Raw genomic sequence first — 19,915 nt, 5'->3', positions numbered from 1 at the left:
TGTCAGGGCAGCCCCCTCCAGAAGAGTTAGCTTCCTGCTTTGTCCAGCCTACCCATCAATGCTCTATCTGCTGTGGCCAAGATGTGACCGTGTGAATGAATGAATGAGTGAATGAGTAAATGGGTTTTGTTTTGTTTGTTTGTTTGAGATGGAGTCTTGCTCTTGTCATCCAGGCTGGAGTGCAGTGGCACGATCCTGGCTCACTGCAACCTCTGCCTCCTGGGTTCAAGCGATTCTTCTGTCTCAGCCTCCTGAGTAACTGGGATTACAGACTCGCGTCACCACACCCTGCTAGTTTTTGTATTTTTAGCAGAGACTGGGTTTCGCCTATTGGCCAGGCTGGTCTCAAACTCCTAACCTCAGGTTATCCACCCACCTGGCATCCCAAAGTGCTGGGATTACAGGCTTGAGCCACCGCGCCCGGCCTGTTTTTGTTTTTGTTAAGGCCAGTTGCCGTAACTTTATTTTAATGGGTTTTCAGACCCACTTTCTGTGGGGCTCTTTAGGTGAGGCTGTGTCACTAGTCAACCATCTTCACTGTGGAGTCCTAATCACTATGATTTTGTTTTGTAGGTCATGAGGATTCATTCAAATTGTCTTTGCTTCCATTCCTTCATAGTATGTTACATGGTGCGAAAGTACATCTTTCTTTCTCTAGTACATTGTATTCAAACAGGTTGCTGCTGCTTCTCCATTGTCATTCATCTTTTCATCATCCTCTTATTCCTCTTAGCACAGTTAGCACATGACATATTATCTTCTATGCCTAGGGATGGAAAAACGCAGGCAGGTAACATGAAGAGAGAAATCATCCTCCTGTGAGTGGTAGGCACCCAGGCCTGACCTGCACGAAACTGCAGGTGTACCCAACCCTTTGTGTCTACCGAGATAAGTCTGCCATAGACCATATGACACCCAACACCAGAGGCTTACCTCAAAAAGGCCTCAACAGAAGCAGGAATAGAACATGAATTCACAGCCTTAGGCTGAACAGCTCTCACAGCAATTCTTGCCCATGATGCCAACATGGCTTCCTGAGTTGAAGTTATCACTTCAAATGTATTAGTCTCTTCTGCTTTCTCATTCATCTCATGACTTTTCTGAAGCCTTGCTCTCTTGGTCAATGCCTTGTGTTTCCTCAACCATGGCTGTAATCTGGTCTCCTGTGACATTTCAGGAATATCTTGCTGTTGTTCAGGGTAAGCGTGTCTATGGAGCCTCAGATAAACTTTTTTTTTTTTTTTTTTTTTTTTAGATGGAGTCTTGCTCTGTCACCCAGGCTGGAGTACAGTGGCGTGATCTCAGCTCACTGCAGCCTCCACCTCCCAGGTTCAAGTGATCCTCCTGCCTCAGCCTCCCATGTAGCTGGGACTACAGGTGCGTACCACCATGCCTGGCTAGTTTTTTTTGTTGGTTTGTTTGTTTTTGTATTTTTAGTAGAGACAGGGTTTCACCACATTGGCCAGGCTGGTCTCGAACTCCTGACCTCAGCCTCAGCCTCCCAAAGTGCTGGGATTACAGGCGTTAGCCACCACGCCTGGCCCTCAGATAAACTTCTATTTTCTTGCCATTAGGACTCAAAACTCGTTGTTGACACCAGTTCCACAAAGTCTCCCGACACAACTTATTAATGGGAGGCAAAATGGTCGGCAAGGGAAAGACTGGTATTTTGCATCTAGCTTTTGTGGAGCTGTGAATTGTTTGTTTGAGGTAGATGAACTTTATTGTGTTTCTTAGGCTTCTCCGGTTTGACATCAGAAGTTGAAGAAACGCTTATTCTATATTTGGATCTTCTTTAACTGGCACCAATGTCAAAATCACACTTTCCTCATCATCTATTTCCCCCTCAAAGAAATTATTCTTGCTGCTATCAAAATTTGAGTCTGACATTTTCAGCAATGCCCCTGTCTTGTCCATTCAGTGACAAGTTTTTTAAAAAATTAAGCCAGGCACGGTGACCCACGCCTGTAGTCCCAGCACTTTGGGAAGCCCAAGCAGGTGGATCGCTTGAGTCAAGGAGTTTGAGACCAGCCTGGGAAACATGGTGAGACCCCCGTCTCTACCAAATAATCTGTTTTTGTTTTTTGAGACAGGGTCTTGCTCTGTCACCCAGGATGGAGTGTAGTGGCATGATCACAGCTCCCTTGTACCCTCGACCGTCCAGGCTAAAGTGATCCACCCACCTCAGCCTCCTGAATAGCTGGGGCTACAGGTGCACACCACCGTGCCTGGCTAATTTATTTGTTTTTTTTTATTTTTGTAGAGACATTTCGCCATGTTGCCCAGGCTGGTCTCAAACTCCTGGGCTCAAGCGATCTGCCCTCCTTCACCTCCCAAAATGTTGTAACTACAGGCATGAGCCACTGTGCCTAGGCGAGTGAATGTTTTTCTCCTGCTCCCCTGGCCCAGCTAAATCACATTCTTCTCCCAAAGCGTCCATACCTCTGTCTTAACCTGTCTCACGCCCAGCCTATCCCAGAGTCAGCGTGGAATGGGTGCTTCTCCTGGCGGTAGAAATCTTTAGCCCCCATGTGGCTCTCTGTCCCAGCCCAGCAGCTGCATCTTGCAGTGGTAAATAATTGCTCCCTGAATTCAACAGAGACTTGAATAAGATCTCCAACAAAGGAATTGGCTCTTATTTATATATTATCTTACCTCTCTGTGGGCAGTACAATGGTTTACATACTGAACGGGGTCCCATAAGTGCTCATTGAATTAAGTAGAGAACATTTATGGATCGCCTACTGATTGTCAGACACCACACCTGGCCCATACTTACTGAGGACTTGATATGTTCCAGGGACAGTGCTCGCCACATTCAACCTCACCACAACTCTATGGCGTAGGTCCTATTATTGTCCCCACATTGCAGTTAAGAAATGTGAGGCACAGAGAGACCACATAATTCGACAAACTAATGGAGCTGTGGGTCTAGCCAGGCAGCCTGGCTCCAGAGCTGACGCACTTAACTGCTTTACCAGGCTGTTTCATGATGGTGTGCTTGACACTGAAGCCTCTGGAAATTAAACAAAGCATTCCAATAAGAGCCACATCAAAAAAAAAATTGAATGACTGTACATTAATCTCTCCAACAGACATCCACAATAATCATGTCCCACCCAGCCCCAAAGAAGATGGGGCTCAGGACTGGGGGTGAGGGATGAACAGGATGCCACTTCACACATGACTTGGAAAAGAAGCCGTAAGTTGAATGATCATGTTTGTCAGACCTGGCAAAAACATTTTGTGCCTATCCCTTGAGAGTTTTGGCAGCTGCAGTTTCCCAAAACAGAGTTATGAAACCAGCAATGGCTGGGTGCATTTGTGACTTTGGCACCAGGGCTTCTGGATCAAATCTCAGACAAACAGGGCAGTGCCCACATCACGCTCCTGCCCATGCCTTATGAGGTCTCTGTCAGATTCTCTCCCCAGAGAATGGCACCTCAGACACCAACCCAACTTCAGTGAAGTGGTGTTTCCCTAGCATGAGCCCCCAAGGAAGCTTAAATCTACCCTCTGAGCTTGGTTTGGTCTCCATGAAGACATTTGCCACACTACATGTTGAGGATTGCCAGACTCTCCCTCCACAGCCAGCTGGAAGCTGGGCACCTCCAGGTTCCCTCGGCCACCAGGACAGGCAGCCACATGCTGGAGAGTTGCTCCAAATACCAACTGGGATGGAAAATATCTCCTGGTCCTGAGACCAGAGAGGAACTGGCAGAGGCCATTTTATTTCACCAAATAATTCCGTGTGACTGCTTCAGTGGGTTGCAAACCTAGGTACTTATTAAAAATTAAAAGGTAGGTTCCCTGGGCCCACTTAGCCCTAAACAAATTGGAAAGGGGGCTGCAGGGGTGGGGGAAGTGGAATACAGGCTCGAGCACTTTTCCAGCCTCTCCAAGTGATTCAACTGTGCAGCCAGTGAGGCCATCCTTCAGATGAATGAGGCACGTGGCCTCTGCCCTCCCCTCTCCAAACGGAACATGGGCTTCTCCCCTCACACAATCACACATTGGTCTTCTGTTCCCCCAGTGCCAGACTCTTCCCCACTTCCAGACCTTTGCTGGAGCTGTGCCCTCTGCAGGAATGCAGCTCTCAGATCCCAGTGGAAAGAGTTCTTCATTTGGGCTCACCCCAAGTGCATTCAGTCACAGTACTTTCTCCTTTATAAGATTCCTTATTCTATAATTCTCTCTCCCCCCAGCAGTCCATAAGCTCCCTGTTCCCCTCACCACTGAGGACCCCATGCCTGTGTATGCAGTAGGTGCACCATAGGTGGCTGGTGAGTATAGGCTGTGTCACAGCTACACAAAAAGGGCAGCTACTACCAGTTAACCGTTGCTAGAGGGTGGTAGAATAAACCCCCTAGTTTGCCATAGTTCACAAAGGAGAGCCAAGGCCAGGCAGGATTGCAGGAACCTTGCACCCAGACCCCCACTGCCATGGTCCCCTCTCTGAAATGCCCCACAATCTGGGTTTCCTACAATCCAACTGGAACCAAGTGCCATATACCCAGTGACAAATGAGGTGCCCAGAGCCAGAATAGTCTAGATGAATTTATTGCCATTCACATATTTCATAGAAAAAAAGATGTAGCAAACGGGTCAGGGTTGTACAAAAAAAAAAAAAAAAAAAATCCAGGTTTATATAGGTTGCTCTATTTACATCTGAGAGCACAGCTGTCCTGGCATCAGGCACAGCAGCTGCACTTGTCTGACGTCCCTTTGCAGATGCAGCCCTGGGCACACTTGGCACAGCCCACAGGGCAGCAGGAGCAGCAGCCTGGAGAAGAAGGGGAGAGTGAGAGGTCAGAGCAGACTCAATCAGGCACCTCCCTGCCCCAACAGAGGCCTGGCTCGAGCCCTGCCTCCAGCCCCAGAGGACCATCATTTCAGGATGGCATGGCTTTGTCAGAAGAGAACTGGTAGATCTTTGGGATGAGGGTTTTATATGAAAAAGCTGCCCAGCCCCACCTGAGTCTGGGACAGGACAGAAGACTGGACAGGTAGTGATTGGGGGTACAGGAACAAAAGGAGGCCAGTTCCCCAAAACCTACCCTTAAATGAGGAAAGTCTTCACAGCCGGACAGGGGGCAAATCCCTGACACAGCAGTTCTGGGGAAGGCTAGGGAAGCTCTGGGCTACCCCTGCAGGAAAGGACTGGATCATTAGGTTTGAAATCACCCGGGGTCTTCCAGATCCTGGGCCTTAAGTGCTTCAGGACCCAGAAGGGTGAAGAAGGCTGCATCAGGAGGCAGGAGACCTAGGTTCACATTCCAGCTTTGTTCCCAACACTATCTGGTAACCTCTCTGGGCCTCAGTTTCTAGTTTGGTAATAAGAGGCTGGGACTCACCCATTTTTAAGGCAATTTGAGGTCTGATTCTGAATCAGGTGTTGAAGGAGGGGTTTGGGGAAGCTGGTCATTGGCCTGCCCCTGCCTGCAGAGCTCTGGGTTCCCTGCTCTAACTTGGCCCATCCCCCAGATTCGCAGGGAAGGCCCTGCACTCACTCTTCTTGCAGGAGGTGCATTTGCACTCTTTGCATTTGCAGGAGCCGGCACAGGCACAGGAGCCAACTGCAAGGAAGAGAAAAAGGCAGTGAGCGTGGAGTGAGATGCAGAAGGTACAGCAGCTGGTCAATAACGCTTCAGTGACCCCTCCTCTGTGCTGAAGGACCAGCCCCCAGAGCTCCTTTCCCACTCAGGGGAGAGGAAGAGAAGCCCCATCTCCTCTCCCTTCATTTTGGGAAGGGCAAGTGTTCTGTTGCTTTTACCCCACAAGCAAGGTCCCAGGCTCCAGACACAGCCCAGGAAGGCTAAGACAGGAGGCCAGAACCTTCTGTCCTGAACTCCGAAGAGGCAATGGCCCCCCACTTCCCATCCACCCTGACTGCTCAGAGCCTGGTCAGAGCATTGGGGCTCAGCCAGCAGCCCCCTGACCAACTGGGTGACATGGAGCAGGACAGCCTTGGGCCTCAGTACCCTCAACTCTAACTTAGAGGCACAGGGAGGCGAGAAGTGGTCTCAGGGACGTGATCGGGAAGAAAGCACCTAACGAAATAAAGGAGCCCCTTCAGCTCAGAACTTTAAATGCGACTTCTTCAAACCCAGGAAGAGTCTGTACTGTGGCTGGGAAACGGGCATCCCAAGGCGCGGAGCTAGGTGTCCCTTACCAGGCGAGCAGGAGCAGTTGGGGTCCATTTCGAGGCAAGGAGAAGCAGGAGTTCCCGATCAAGAGGAAAACACGCAGCGGGACAGATGAAAAGCGTGGTGGAGCCCAGAAGCCGGCGGCTCTCTTTATAGTCCGGGAAGAGGGCCGGGCGCAGAGGCCCCGCCTCGTCCTTGCACCCGCCCCTGCTGAGTCTGCACCGCCCGCGATCCTGGGCCGGGTGCAGCAACCCGTGAGCCCAGCGCCGGGCGCACCGCGGGGCCTGCCCCTTTGGCTCCACCTCGTTGAGAACCTGGCAGTACGTGGCGTCCCTGGCGTCTTGCCTGCCCAATTTCCCTGACATTGCCTGCCTCTCCCTCTCCTAGGCGTGCCGGGAAACTCGGAATCCCGGCGGTCTACACACCCCCAGCCCCCGCTCCACTGTGTGTAGCTTTGCATTTCCCAGAGTCCCTGGATCACGTCCCTGGATCGGCGGGAGCGGTGAGCATAGCGAGGGAGCAGTGTGCAAATGAGAGGCAGAGGATGTGACACTCGGATTTCCTGCATTGCCGGTCCCTGTCCCCGTCCCCACCTCGGTCTGTTGGCCACGTTTCTCTTATGTCTAGGGACAGAACAGACACAGGGCTCTGCCCCCGTCCTTGCATTCTCCACTCTTGAGAGGCTGAATGGGCACATTTGCCCAGGTCCTCCTTTGCATAAAACTCTCCAGGTCTCCCCATAGCCTAGCCGGGCACCCCACCACAGGATGACAGTTTGGAAAATGTGGAATGCTCCCAGAAAAGGGATCATTTTAGGTGATATGCGGATTCCGGATTAAATTAAAATGCAAGAAACAGGGTTATTTTTCCTTCCATATTCCTATTACTCTACATAACATTAATCCGTGTTAGGCCCTTTTTAGTCACTTTGCATCGTTGAACCCTCACAGCAACCCTAAAGGGACATACTTCTATTCATGAACCCATATTCTAATCTGAACAACAACAATAAAAGGAGTTCAAGCCACCAGCCCAGGGTCAGAGGGCTGCGAAGTGACACTGCTGGGTCTGAATCCGGTCAGCGTCCCAAAGCAATGATGAAGCTTCCCTTTGGCCTAGATATATTCATCTCTTTACTGCTTGAAATCTTTAAACAAAACCAAGCATCAAGGTCAGTCCTGGAAGCAAAACAGAGATGCAGAGGGGATATGAATAAGCATAATTTGATGGCAACCTTCTATGTCTGGAAGTTAAACTGATTCTTTTTTCAGTGGTGCTAATGAGTTTGCTTTTCATATAAAAATATCTAAGGAAATAGGAATCATTTGAAAGAAAAACGTTAAGTCACATATTGGTGCAGGTGGTAGCAGAACTGGCAGGTATCCTTCCGTTTCTGTGATGGGGACAGGGACTATCTTGCTCATGGCTTTATATTTCTGGAGTGAATCCCTATTTTGTGGGCAGAGTGCAGGACACTGTCAGGACCACAGGTCAATGCTCATGTGGCTGATGAGAAAGACAGAGGACACACAGGGAGGGACTCCAGGCCTGGCTCTTTTGTCTGGAGTAAAAATGTCAACTATGCTATCGTCTGAGTCCATTTGGGCTGCTATCACCAGATGCCTTAGACTGGGTAACTTAAAACAGCAAAATATATTTCTCTCAGTTCTGGAAGCATGGAAGTCCAAGGTCAAGGCACCAGCATATTTGGAGTCTTGTGAGGGCCCCGTTCCTCACGGATGTCTCTTTCTTGCTGGGTCCTCACATGGTGGAAAGAGTTAAACAAGCTCCCTCAGGCCTCTCTAATTAAGGCACTAATCCCATTCATGAGCACTAGGTCCTCTTATTTCAGTCACCTCCCAAATGCACCACCTCAGTACCAACACACTGAAAATTAGATTTGCACATATGAATATTGGAGGCATACGAGCATTTAGACCATAGCAGCCATGAATAAAAATAACAAAATAATAGTTAATATTATAGATCATTTGCCATGTGCAAGGCACCATTCTAATTTCTTTATACCTATTAAATCATTTATTTCTACAAGTCAGACCCCATTACAGTCATATGCTGCTTAGTGATGGGAATACATTCTAAGAAATGCATTGTTGGGTGATTTCATGTTGTGCAAACAGTGTAAAGAGTACAATAACAAACCTAGATATTATGGCCTACCACAGACCTAGGCTATGTGATATGGCCTATTGCTCCTAGGCTTCAAACCTGTACAGCATGCTACTGTACTGAATACTGAAGGCAATGATAACACAGTGGTATTTGTGTATCTAAACATAGCTAAACATAGAAAGGTAGAGTACAGTTACCTTATAACCTTATAGGACCACTATGCTATATGCAGTGCATCTATAACTAAAACGTCCTTATACAGCACATGATGTATTATTATATTCTGCCCCTTTTACAGTGCAGGAACTGAGCCACAGAGAGGTTGTGTCACCCAGGTATACATGATGACACATCCGGGATTGGCACTCACACAGGCTGACCATAGAATAATGCCCTCAACCACAAGCCTGTGTCACCCTGTCGTGTGACACATGAGGACACTAACTCTGGCACAGAGGCACAGTGGTAAGAGCACTGAGCTGGCAGTCAGAGCCTCTGAATAGCTGTGTGTCCTCTCTGGCTTCAGTTCACCAGCTATCAAGTCAGGGTCACAATTGGGCTAACTAACCATGGGCCCTTCCAGCTCTGGAATGTGAGAGGCCGGGCTTAGCATCCATTGACAGCGTGATATTTCACTATGGCGAGGGCATGAGGACACCCACAGCATAGATTCATTCATGCCTTTACTTCTAAACTATGTGACCTTGGGAAGATTGCTTAACTCCTTTAGAAGACAGTACAACTCCTCTAGAAGACAGCACCATCTCACCAAACCCTTCACATTCACTGTGTGTCTGGTTTGTGTGAAGATCAAATGACTTGAAAGGTGGGAAAGGCTTGTTCTCTGTCTGAATGCTGGAGCAGTGTCTTATCCTGGAGAGCAGGTGCAGGAGGTCATCCACATGCCCTTGAGACCAGAACAGCAAGACTCCAAATCCATCTCCAACTTCCAGTCCACATAATACCCGCAGGCAGATGGGCCTTTTCCAAGGAGCTTGATGGGAGCTAATAGGATTGTCTGTCTAGAAAGTCCACATGGACAAATGATTATAATAGCACTGTTCAGTAAGCCCTAGGCCACTAGTACCAGGCCACTGTCCCATTTGATCCCTACATGGAAATATAATCTCCTGTATACAGATGAGGAAATGGAGGCTCAGAGAGGTTAAGTGACTTGTGCAGGCCACACAGCCAGTCAGGAGTGAAGTGGGCTGTGAACCCGGTTGTTTGACACCAAAGCCTGCACTTGGCCCAGGCTACCTTCTGAAATTCCCTCATCACAAAGAGCACCTGCAGCCCATCTAGGTCTTGACTCCTGGGTCACTTGTCTCATCTTCCCTGTGATTGAACCTCGAATAACAATTCCCTGAGCAGATAGCTGGAGGTACCAGCTGTTGGTAGCAATGATCAGTCCTCATCCTTCTCAATGAACACCACACACCTTCAAAGTACAGAATATGCCATCACCCCTGCAGAGGCGGAGTCAAAATACTTCACCTGGGAACCCCAGTTGCTATCTATAGTCAGCTTGCCAGGACGATGCTGGACACTTCGCTCCACCTGCCTATTCACTGCACTGGCCTGAAGTAACCAAGGGCTGGAATTTGAAGGAGACTGCAGCCTGACCTTGGGAGAAACTTCCAAAGATTCAGAGCCAAGTCAGAACAAGGAGCTCTCAGGGGTAGCGAGAGTTCCATGAGTGACATGGTGCCGTTCAGGACTGATAGTTCCTTTTGGACATGTCCAGGCCAGCACTGCTGAAGGTGTGTGATCCACGCATGAGGGTTAGTCTACAAACTGTTCCCAGTCTGAAATACGCAACCTAGAACATATATGCAATGTCTGTAAATTTTTATTTTTCTGTTTTTTAATATATTTAAATATAGTCATATATTTTGTTTTTCATACATTGTTTTTTGTATGTATTTTTTTGTTTTCATATATTTATATTTATTAATAATTTGCCTGTTTAATATTAAAAAGTAGATTTTGTTTTTATATTTCATACTAATTCATTTTAGTTCATTTTCCCAAAGCTTAGGTCTGTTACAGATGCCCACGCCTATGCCATTATATCTCTTACATGTATACTGTTTTTTTGGTTTTTTTTTGAAATGGAGTTTCCCTCTTGTTACCCAGGCAGGAGTGCAGTGGTGCAATCTCGGCTCATTGCAACCACAACTTCCCGGGTTCAAGTGATTCTCCTTCTTCAGCCTCCCAAATAGCTGGGATTACAGGCACCCGACGCCACTCGTGGCTAATTTTTGTATTTTTAGTAGAGATGGGGGTTTCATCACGTTGGCCAGGCTGGTCTTGAACTTCTGGCCTTTTGTAATCTGCCCACCTTGGCCTGCCAAAGTACTGCAATTACAGGTGTGAGCCACCATGCCCGGCCTACATGTATAATGCTTTTACATTTTTTAGCAGAGACAGGTAATGTGATTTGTCTTAAGGCACTCAGTGTGTAAGGTGATAGGACGTGGTACCAGCACCCATGTGTCTGGACTCTCAATGCAATTGCTTATCCCAGCTCTGTTGGGTATCAGATCACTTTTTTCCAAGGCACACAAAACAAAACTGAGCCAGAATAAAGTCAACTTTTATTATCATTAACATATTTTATTTTTAGAAACCCAAATGTACTAATGGGTCAGGGTTGTATGGAAAACAATTCCAGGTTTGTACACTTTCTACTTCTGGGAACACAGCTTTCCCTACATCAGGAGCAGCAGCTGCACTTGTCAGTGTCCCTTTGCAAACACATCCCTGGGCACACTTGGCACAGCCCACGGGGCAGCAGGAGCAGCAGCCTGGGGAAGAAGGGGAGAGTGACAGGTCACAGCAGACTTGAACAGGCACCTCTCTGCCCCAACAGTGGGCCTGGCTCAAGCTCGCACCCAGACCCAGAGGAGCTTTAGGTCCGGATGGTGTGCTCTGTGAGACAATGGTGGATCTTTGGAGTGAGAGCCTTCCTGTGAAAAACTTGCTCAGCCCCACCAGAGCCAGGACAGAGCAGAAGACTGGACAGGCAGTGACTGGGACTGTGGGGACAAAGGAAGGGCAATTCCCCAGGACCATACATTTCAGTGAGAAAAGCCCTCAAGAATCAGGTCTGTGGTTGGCCAGCTGGTACATTCTTGTGACCTCAGTTTCCCCATTGTTAAGAATGAAGGTTGGGTAGGAATCAACCATCCCTAATGTTCTTCCAGCTCTGATCCTGAATCCGTTTCAGGGGATGTGGGAAGCTAGTGATGAGCCTGCTCCTGCCTGCAGAATCTGAGATCCCTCCTCTGACTCAGCCCAGCACCCCCGCTCCCTGCGATTCCCAGGGAAGGCCCCTCACTCACTCGTCTTGCAGGAGGTGCATTTGCACTCTCTGCATTTGCAGGAGCTGGTGCAGGTGCAGGTGAAGAGAAAAAGGCAGTGAGCAGTGAGTGTGCTGCAGGGTTAGGAGCAGGCCCTCAGCATCCTCCTGCTCAGTGCATGGGAAACCTGGTACCTTGTTCCACTCAGGCACACGGAAGCCCAGCTCCACCTTTTTTCCCCACAGGCTGGGATGGGCAGGCGCCCTCCTAATTTTACTCCCCAAGGCCTTATATCAGGAATCCCTAAGAGGCAATGCTCCCTGCCTCCCATCCACCTCAGGCAGCTCTAATGCTGGACAGAGCACTGGGTCCCAGCCCGGGAACCCACTGGCTATCTGGGTGACCTGGCAGTTTTGAGCCTCAGTCTTCTCGCTTCAAAAATGGGAGGGCCACTTTGGGAGGCCGAGGAGGGCGGATCACGAGGTCAGGAGATCGAGACCATCCTGGCTAACACGGTGAAACCCTGTCTCTACCAAAAATACAAAAAATTAGCCGGGCGTGGTGACGGGCGCCTGTAGTCCCAGCTACTCTTCAGGCTGAGACAGGAGAATGGCGTGAACCCGGGAGGCGGAGCTTTCAGTGAGCCAAGATCGGGCCACTGCACTCCAGCCTGGGCGACAGGGCAAGACTCCGTCTCAAAACAAAACAAAACAAAACAAAAAACAAACAAAAAAACAAAAAAAAAGTGGGGGGGCGCTGGGAAGATGGCAACATTCCAAGTGGTAATGAAGGCGCTTGACAGGGAAAAACACGAGAAGTGCAAAGTAAAGGAGGCCACTTTAGGAAGAGCTAACATGCACCTCCCTCCTGCCCCGGGTACATTCTATCCTCTGGAATGGAAATGGATATTCTAAAGCCCCGAAACCCGGTATCCCTTACTAGTGGAGCAGGAGCAATTGGGGTCCATTACGAAGCGAGGTGAAGCTAGAGTTCCTAAGGGAGAGGAGAAGAAGCAGTGGGGCAGGTGGGAGGCGTGGTGGATTCTAGGAACCGGAAGCTCAATTTATAGTTAGAAGAGGGGGCCGGGTGCAGAGTACCCTTCTCACCCACCCCCACGCGGAATCCGCGGCGCCTGCGGTCTTGGGTTGAGCTGTGCGCAGCAGGCGGGTCAGGCGCACCATCCCCTGAGTGCAGCCTGGTGGGCTCCCGGGGACCGCCCTTTTGGGGCCCGCTCGTGCGGGAGGGGCTATGCTGCCAGAGGTACGCGCCGCCCCTGCCACCCTGAGGGCCATTTCCCATTCCCAGGTGGTCGCGCTGTCCCCACCCCCTCCATTCTCCCTCCCCCGCACAGTCGTCCTCAGCTTCGCCTCTCCCGGGTCCGTGTGCATCCGGGTCCATCCTCTTGCTCACCTTCTTCATTGGCTAGAGCCGGGAGCAGAGCGAGTGAGCAGTGTGCAGATGAGCCATGGTGGAGGTGACTTTTGCTTCTCCCTCGCCCTCCCCCCTCATTACCTGTAACTCTTCCCACCTAAGACCCTCAAACTCTTTTCCCCTGTAGACAGATCGTGGCGACCACGGGTCGGCCTCTCTCTCTTCCCTCCATGCTCCTCCTCTGAGGTGATGGCGGGCACATTTGTCAGTTTCCTCCTTTTCATATAGTTCTCCGGGACTTTCCAGGCCTGCCGGCCACCCCACTGCAGGATGGCAGTTTTGAAAATGAGGGATGCCCTCCAAAGAGGATGACTTTAGGTGACATGCAGACCCTGCGGTCAATCAAGGAGAGAAGTGGGTATTTCTGTTCAATGTTCTTATCATGTAACATTTAGAATGTGCCAGGCCTCTTTAAATCATTAATTCCTTGAACACTCCCAACAATCCTAAAGGGAAATTTTCACTTGCATCCTTGTGAAGAGACCACCAAACAGGCTTTGTGAGAGCAACAAGGCTGTTTATTTCACCTGGGTGCAGGCGGCCTGAGTCCGAAAAGAGAGTCAGCGAAGGGAGATAGGGGTGGGGCCGTTTTATAAGATTTGGGTAGGTAAAGGAAAATCACAGTCAAAGGGGGGTTGTTCTCTGGCGGGCAGGAGTGGGGGTCACAAGGTGCTTAGTAGGGGAGCTTTTGAGCCAGGATGAGCCAGGAGAAGGAATTTCACAAGATAATGTCATCAGTTAAGGCAGGAACAGGCCATTTTCATTTCTTTTGTGGTGGAATGTCATCAGTTAAGGCAAGGCAGCGCATTTTCACTTCTTTTGTGATTCTTCAATTACTTCAGGCCATCTGGGCGTATACGTGCAAGTCACAGGGGATGCGATGGCTTGGCTTGGGCTCAGAGGCCTGACAGAAATACTATTTATGACCTGTTTTACTAATCTGACTGTCAGGCCTCTGAACCCAAGCCAAGCCATCGCATCCCCTGTGACTTGCACATATACATCCAGATGGCCTGAAGTAACTGAAGATCCACAAAAGAAGTAAAAATAGCCTTAACTGATGACATCCCACCATTGTGATTTGTTTCTTCCCCGCCCTAACTGATCAATGTACTTTGTAATCTCCCCCACCCTTAAGAAGATACTTTGTAATCTCCCCCACGCTTAAGAAGTTTCTTTGTAATTCTCCCCACCCTTGAGAATGTACTTTGTGAGATCCACCCCTGCCCACAAAACATTGCTCTTCACCGCCTGTCCCAAAACCTACAAGAACTAATGATAATCCACCACCCTTCGCTGACTCTCTTTTCGGACTCAGCCCACCTGCACCCAGGTGAAATAAACAGCCATGTTGCTCACACAAAGCCTGTTTGGTGGTCTCTTCACATGGACGCGAATGAAACTGACAACTGTAACAAGAAGTTTAAGTAACTTGCTCAACATCACAGAGCTAAACAGTTTACACTGATTTGAATCTAGCCAGCGTTTCAAGAGAAAGTGTCCAAGATCAAGCCTTCCTTTGGCCCAGGTTTGTCAGCACTTCTCTATTGCTGGTAATCTTTTTTTTTGAGACGGAGTCTCCCTCTGTCGGCCAGGCTGGAGTGCAGTGGCGCGATCTCGGCTGGCTGCAATCTCTGTCTCCCGGGCTCAAGTAATTCTCCTGCATAAGGCTCCAGAGTAGCTGGGACTACAGGCGTGTGCCACCATGCCAAGTAATTTTTGTATTTTTAGTAGAGACCAGGTTTCACCAAGTTGGCCAGGCTGGTCTCCAACTCCCGACCTCAGGTAATCCGGTTGCCGCGGCCTCCCAAAGTGCTGGGAATACAGGCGTAAGCCACTGTGCCCAGCTTTTTCTGACTATCTTCTATGTGTGGAATAAGACTGATTTTCATTTTCACTGGTGGAAAAGAGTTGGCTTTAAATAAAAAAATATACTTAAGAAAATATCAGTCACTTCAATGTTATAAGTTAAGTAAAATACAGTGACTGTGAGTACAGAAATGACATTCTTTTTCATCTGACATGAAGCATGGAATCTTGCTTATAGCTTTATATCCCTAGTGTTGATGACTATTATATGGGAAGAGCAAATGTCCCTTTTGACCACAGGACACATGTTCATGTAGTAGATGAGAATAGCAGGATACACAAGTGAGCATATCTGGCCTAGCTGTTTTGTCTGTGAGTAAATAAATATCCCCCATGCTATATGTAATGAGAGAAAAAAAAGCAACAGTTAATGTTATAGATGACTCACTGTTTGCCAGGCACCATTCTAAGTTCCTTACATGAATTAAATCATTTAATTTTACAAGCAGATATTATTATACTCCAGCTGATGAGACTGAGACACAGAGAGGTTGCGTCACACACATCGTGGCAGAGTTGGGATTTGCACTCATACAGGCTGACTGCAGCATCATGTCCTTACCCCATGCTCTATGCCACCAAGTCAACACAAACATGATGATGCTGAATGTCCTCATATTCCACCGCTGGGATGCAGCGGTGGAAGCACGTTGAGTTGGCAGTGAGACCCCTGTGCATAGCCGCGACCTCCCTGGGCTTCCGTTCCCATCTCTCAAGCCAAGAGCAAAATTTGTTCATCTCAGAGAGTATTAATCATTTCAATGTGAAATGATACATAAAATGTGCACATGGCAGCAGAAATGGCAGTCATTCTATATGTGACATGAGGCACTGCATCGTGCTCATAGCTTTATAACCCTGTGTTGATGACATTTTTGTGGTTACAGTGACTGACTCTCTGGTCCACAGGACCCGTGTTTGAGTGGTAGATGACAGTTACAGTATACACAGCTAGGCACTCCAGGCCTGGCTGCTTTGTCTGTGAATAAACAAATGTCCCCTACGCTATGTGTAATGATTGTTTTAAAGAAGCAATAGCCAATATTATAGACTACTCACCACTTGCCAGGCATCATTCCTCATTCTCTCTCTCTCTGTCTTTTTTTTTTCTTGAGATAGAGTCTTGTTCTGTTGCCCAACCTGGAGTACAGTGGCACGATCTTGCTGACTATAACTTCTACCTCCTGAGCTCAAGTAATCCTCCCTTCTCAGCCTCCAGAGCAGCTAGGACCACAGGTGCATGGCATCACATCGTCTAATTTTTGTAATTTTTGTAGAGATGGGGTTTCTCCGTGTTGCCCAGGCTAGTCTCAAACTCCTAGGCTCAAACAACCTTCCCACCTCTGCCTCCCAAAGTGCAGGTATTACAGGCATGAGCCACTGTGCCTGGCCCACTCTCTCATTTAATCCCTGCATTGAGATATAATCTCCTTTCTACAAATGAGGCACTAGATGCTCAGAGAGTGTGGGTGACTTGCCCAAACCACACAGCCAGTAAGTGGTGGAGTGGGCTGTGAACTAGGACTGCCTGACAACTAAAACTACACCCTAGGCGCTGGCTGCCTTCTGAAATTGCTTCACAGGGAAGCAGCAGGTAAGCGTGGTCCTGACTTCTACACAAGGAGATTCATCTTCCTCTTTGACTGAACATCAAATAGCATTCCCTCCAGAAATGGAGGGACTAACTTGTCATTAACAAGACATCCAGGGACTCTTTCCTTCCTAAGGAACATCACCACACTCAGCCAGCTGCACAATCTGCCATAGCTGTATTCTGAGAACTTGTGTAAATAAAGTATTAGTAATTATGGAAATGATGAAATCACAATCAAAATTCCAAAATAACTTCATCTGCAACCCACGATCACATTGCCTCTTGCCAGGAGCATGCTGGTTTGAAGTAGTCAAGGGCTGGAGCTTGAAAGAGGAACAAATGAAGCCTGACCTTGGGAGGAACTTCCAAAGATTCTGAGCCAACTCCCAACAGGGAGCTCTCAGGGTTCAGCGAGTGTCCTGAGTGTGCTGTCTTGTGTGTGATGCTGGCTAGGCCAAGCCTGATGGTTCCTCATGAGAATGTCCTGGCCTGTGCTGCTGAAGGTGTGTGGTCCACAGTGGGGTCAGTCTGCTGTTTCCAGTCTCCAATGCAACTCATCCATGAACATATGTGCAGAGTTTGTAAATCTTCCATTTTTCTGTTATTTCTGTATGTATTTATTGATTTTTTTGTGTAAAATGTAAAACATGGGTTCTATATTTTGTGCTTCATTATCTTCATAATTAATATTACTTTATTTACAAAGGTTTAGGTCTGGGATGGATAGAAAATGAAAACTGTCCCTTCACCGTGGAGTTTGAGAAGCCCCATGGAGGATTCAAGTAATTTAGGCATTGGAATCCACCTCCTGTGGCCAATTTCAAGCCTAAAATCTGCTGAGGAACTGAACTTGGGCAGGGAAACCTGAGAATAAACATGAGGAATGGAGAAGTCTCTGTACCACATTTAATATGAGTGGAGCTGATCGCGTATGTCCCCATCCCCATATGAGCCAGGACAGTGCAGGTGCCTTTTACAGAAGATGGAGGTCAGTGATGTAATGGGGCTCACCTGAAGGCGCTCAGACTGTTCAGCACTCACATTTCCATCCAGAGCCCAGTCTTTAAACTCCCAGTTCAATCTCCCACCCCAGTCCCTCATTCCAAAAAACACAACAGGAACCAGAACGGGAATCAAGTCTAAGTGTTTAATTATTATTCACATATTTCACAGAAAAAAAGGAATGTAGCAAATGAGTCGGAGTTGTAGAAAAAAAAAATCCTGGATTTTACGTGTCATTCTGTTTTCATCTGACAGCAGGGCTGTCCCGACATCAGGCACAGCAGCTGCACTTCTCTGACGCCCCTTTGCAGATGCAGCCCTGGGCACACTTGGCACAGCCCAGGGGGCAACAGGAGCAGCAGCCTGGGGAAAAAGGGAGAGAGAAGTCACAGCAGACTTGACCAGGGAGCTCCCTCTCCCAACAGCAGGCCTGGCTCAAGCTCAGACTCCAGCCCCAGAGGATCCTTAGTTCAGGATGGCACAGCTTTTTCAGGAGACGACTGGTGGATATTGGGGTGAGTCTTCCTATGAGAGACTGCCCAGCCCCACAGGAGCCCTGGACAGAGCAGAAGACTGGAAAGGCAGTGACGGCCTAGGGGGACAAAGGAAGCAGGCACTCAGGGCCAGCCTTGGGTTCCCTCCCAACCTTAGCCACAGCCCCAGATTCCTGGAGATGGCCCCGCACTCACTCTTCTTGCAGGAGGTGCATTTGCACTTTTTGCACTTGCAGGAGCCGGCGCAGGCGCAGGAGCCACCTGCAAGGAATAGAAAAAGCCAGTGTGTTGTGAGTGAGATGCAGAAGTTACAGCAGTGGGTCAATGAGTGTCCACTTCCCCCTTCTCTGTTCAGGGCCAGCCGTCAGAGCTCCTTTCCCACTCAGCAGAAGAAGAGAAGACCCATCTCCTCTCCATTCATGCTGGGAAAACCAAGCACCCTCCGTTTGTATTCCAAAGGTAAGTCCCAGGCTCCAGGCACAGCCCGGGAAGACTGCGACTTCGACTTTCTGTGCTGAACCCTGAAGAGGCAATGTCCCCACCTATCCAATGCCTCCCATCCAATCCGGCTGCTCAGAGCCTGGTTAGAGAATTGGGGCTCAGCCAGCAGCCTCGTGACCAACGGGGTGATGTGGAGCAGGACAGCCTTGAGCCTTAGGACCCTCAACTCTGACATAGAGGCACAGGGAAGAGGGACATGCTCTCAGGAGCTTGGCCAAGAGGAAAGCAGCGGAGGAAGTAAAGAAGTCCTCTTCAGCTCAGATCGCAAAATATGACCTCCTCAAACCCAGGGACACTCTCTATGGTGTCTGGGAATTTGGCATCCTAAGGCACAGAACCCGGGCGTTCCTTACCAGCCTCGCAGGAGCAGTTGGGGTCCATTGCAAGCCGAGGTGAGACTGGAGTTCCCAAGCGAGAAGAGAAGAGGCAGTGGAACACGTGGAGGGCGTGGTGGAGCGCAACAGTTGGCAGCTCCTTTTCTAGTCAGGGGAGGGAGCCGGGTGCAGAGACCCTGCCCCACCCTTGCACCCGACCCACTGAGTCCGAGCCGCCCGCGGTCCTGGGCTGGGCTGTGCGCAGCAGACGGGTCGGGCGCAAAGTACCCTGAGCGCAGGTCGGTGCACACCGCGGGGACGGCCCTTTCGCAGCGGCTCCCGCGGGAGGGGCTGTGCACCCGGGTGAGCTGCTTGTTTCACCCTGCCGGGCCTGCCCAGTTCCCTGAGATTACCTGCTACTCCCGCCCTTTGGCGTTCCGCGTGCCCCGAGATCCTGACCTGCGCCCCACACCCCGGGGCCTGCCCACCCCCTGTCAACAGCTAAGGCTTTCCTGGAGTCCCAGTGCAACCCCAGTCTCTTGTTCAATTGTCTGGATTGGTGGGAGCAGAGAGCACAGCGAGGGAGTAGTGTGCAAGGGACATGCCGAGGATGCGACCTTCAGATCTCTGGCATTGCCTGTTCCTGTCCCCGTCCCCACCTCAGTTCTTCGGCCACGTTTCTCCTGTGCACAGCAACACGGAAGACACAGGACCCTGCCTCCCTCCCATCAAAGTATACTTATTCATATCCCTCTATGTCTCTGTTTTGCTTCCAGGACTGACTGTAATGCTTGGTTTTGTTGAAAGATTTCAAGCAGTGAAGAGATAAACATACCTAGGCCATAGAGAAGCTTCATCACTGACCTCTCTACCTAGGGAAGCTGACAGGATTCACACCAAGCAGTGCCACTTCCCAGCTCCCTGACCCTGGGCTAGTGGCTTGAACTCCTCGTCATTGTCCAGATTAGGAATACGGGTTCGTGAAAAGGACTCATGTCCCTTTAGGGTTGCTGTGAGGGTTCAAAGACAGAAAGTGATTAAACAGGGCCAAACACAGACCCGTGTAACATAGAGTAATAGGAATATGGAAGGAAAAATAACCAGCGCTCTTGCTTTCTAATTTAAT

At 49.2% G+C, this 19,915-nt stretch overlaps 2 protein-coding genes and 2 pseudogenes across 5 annotated transcripts, besides 4 other annotated features; all 4 read right to left on the bottom strand.

Moving 5' to 3' along the window:
• Positions 443-1,904, bottom strand: DPPA2P4 (developmental pluripotency associated 2 pseudogene 4; annotated as a pseudogene).
• Positions 4,545-6,271, bottom strand: MT1X (metallothionein 1X). Its single transcript, NM_005952.4, has 3 exons — positions 6,173-6,271; positions 5,511-5,576; positions 4,545-4,783 (listed from the first exon to the last, which is right to left on the bottom strand). The coding sequence occupies exons 1-3, from the start codon at positions 6,198-6,200 to the stop codon at positions 4,692-4,694; spliced, it is 186 nt and encodes a 61-aa protein (NP_005943.1). The 5' UTR covers positions 6,201-6,271; the 3' UTR covers positions 4,545-4,691.
• Positions 5,887-6,418: an enhancer, noted in NCBI's record as "H3K27ac-H3K4me1 hESC enhancer chr16:56716235-56716766 (GRCh37/hg19 assembly coordinates)". NCBI's record gives its function as "activates a minimal SCP1, AML or CMV promoter by ChIP-STARR-seq in primed H9 embryonic stem cells {active_cell/tissue: H9 hESC(primed)}" and the evidence as "EXISTENCE:reporter gene assay evidence [ECO:0000049][PMID:30033119]".
• Positions 5,887-6,496: a biological region, named in NCBI's record as "H3K27ac-H3K4me1 hESC enhancer GRCh37_chr16:56716235-56716766".
• Positions 6,227-6,496: a silencer, noted in NCBI's record as "silent region_7513". NCBI's record gives its function as "represses an Ori minimal core promoter by ATAC-STARR-seq in GM12878 lymphoblastoid cells {active_cell/tissue: GM12878}" and the evidence as "EXISTENCE:reporter gene assay evidence [ECO:0000049][PMID:35858748]".
• MT1IP (metallothionein 1I, pseudogene) lies at positions 10,864-12,625 on the bottom strand (annotated as a pseudogene). Of its 3 annotated transcripts, NR_104045.1 has the most exons (4): positions 12,524-12,625; positions 12,214-12,217; positions 11,627-11,651; positions 10,864-11,089 (listed from the first exon to the last, which is right to left on the bottom strand). The product of NR_104045.1 is annotated as a metallothionein 1I, pseudogene, transcript variant 2 (transcript). The 3 variants fall into 3 exon arrangements; NR_003669.2 differs by lacking the exon at positions 12,214-12,217 and having other exon boundaries at positions 11,627-11,670; NR_104046.1 differs by lacking the exons at positions 11,627-11,651; positions 12,214-12,217.
• Positions 13,401-14,072: an enhancer, noted in NCBI's record as "OCT4-NANOG-H3K27ac hESC enhancer chr16:56708581-56709252 (GRCh37/hg19 assembly coordinates)". NCBI's record gives its function as "activates a minimal SCP1, AML or CMV promoter by ChIP-STARR-seq in primed H9 embryonic stem cells {active_cell/tissue: H9 hESC(primed)}" and the evidence as "EXISTENCE:reporter gene assay evidence [ECO:0000049][PMID:30033119]".
• MT1H (metallothionein 1H) lies at positions 17,612-18,927 on the bottom strand. Its single transcript, NM_005951.2, has 3 exons — positions 18,829-18,927; positions 18,170-18,235; positions 17,612-17,843 (listed from the first exon to the last, which is right to left on the bottom strand). The coding sequence occupies exons 1-3, from the start codon at positions 18,854-18,856 to the stop codon at positions 17,752-17,754; spliced, it is 186 nt and encodes a 61-aa protein (NP_005942.1). The 5' UTR covers positions 18,857-18,927; the 3' UTR covers positions 17,612-17,751.
• Positions 18,928-19,915: the final 988 nt, after the last annotated feature.

This window comes from Homo sapiens, chromosome 16, assembly GCF_000001405.40.
Source record: "Homo sapiens chromosome 16, GRCh38.p14 Primary Assembly".
NCBI lineage: Eukaryota > Metazoa > Chordata > Mammalia > Primates > Hominidae > Homo > Homo sapiens.
Note: the sequence above shows the minus strand (reverse complement) of the source record. Positions and strands in the feature narration are given on the sequence as shown.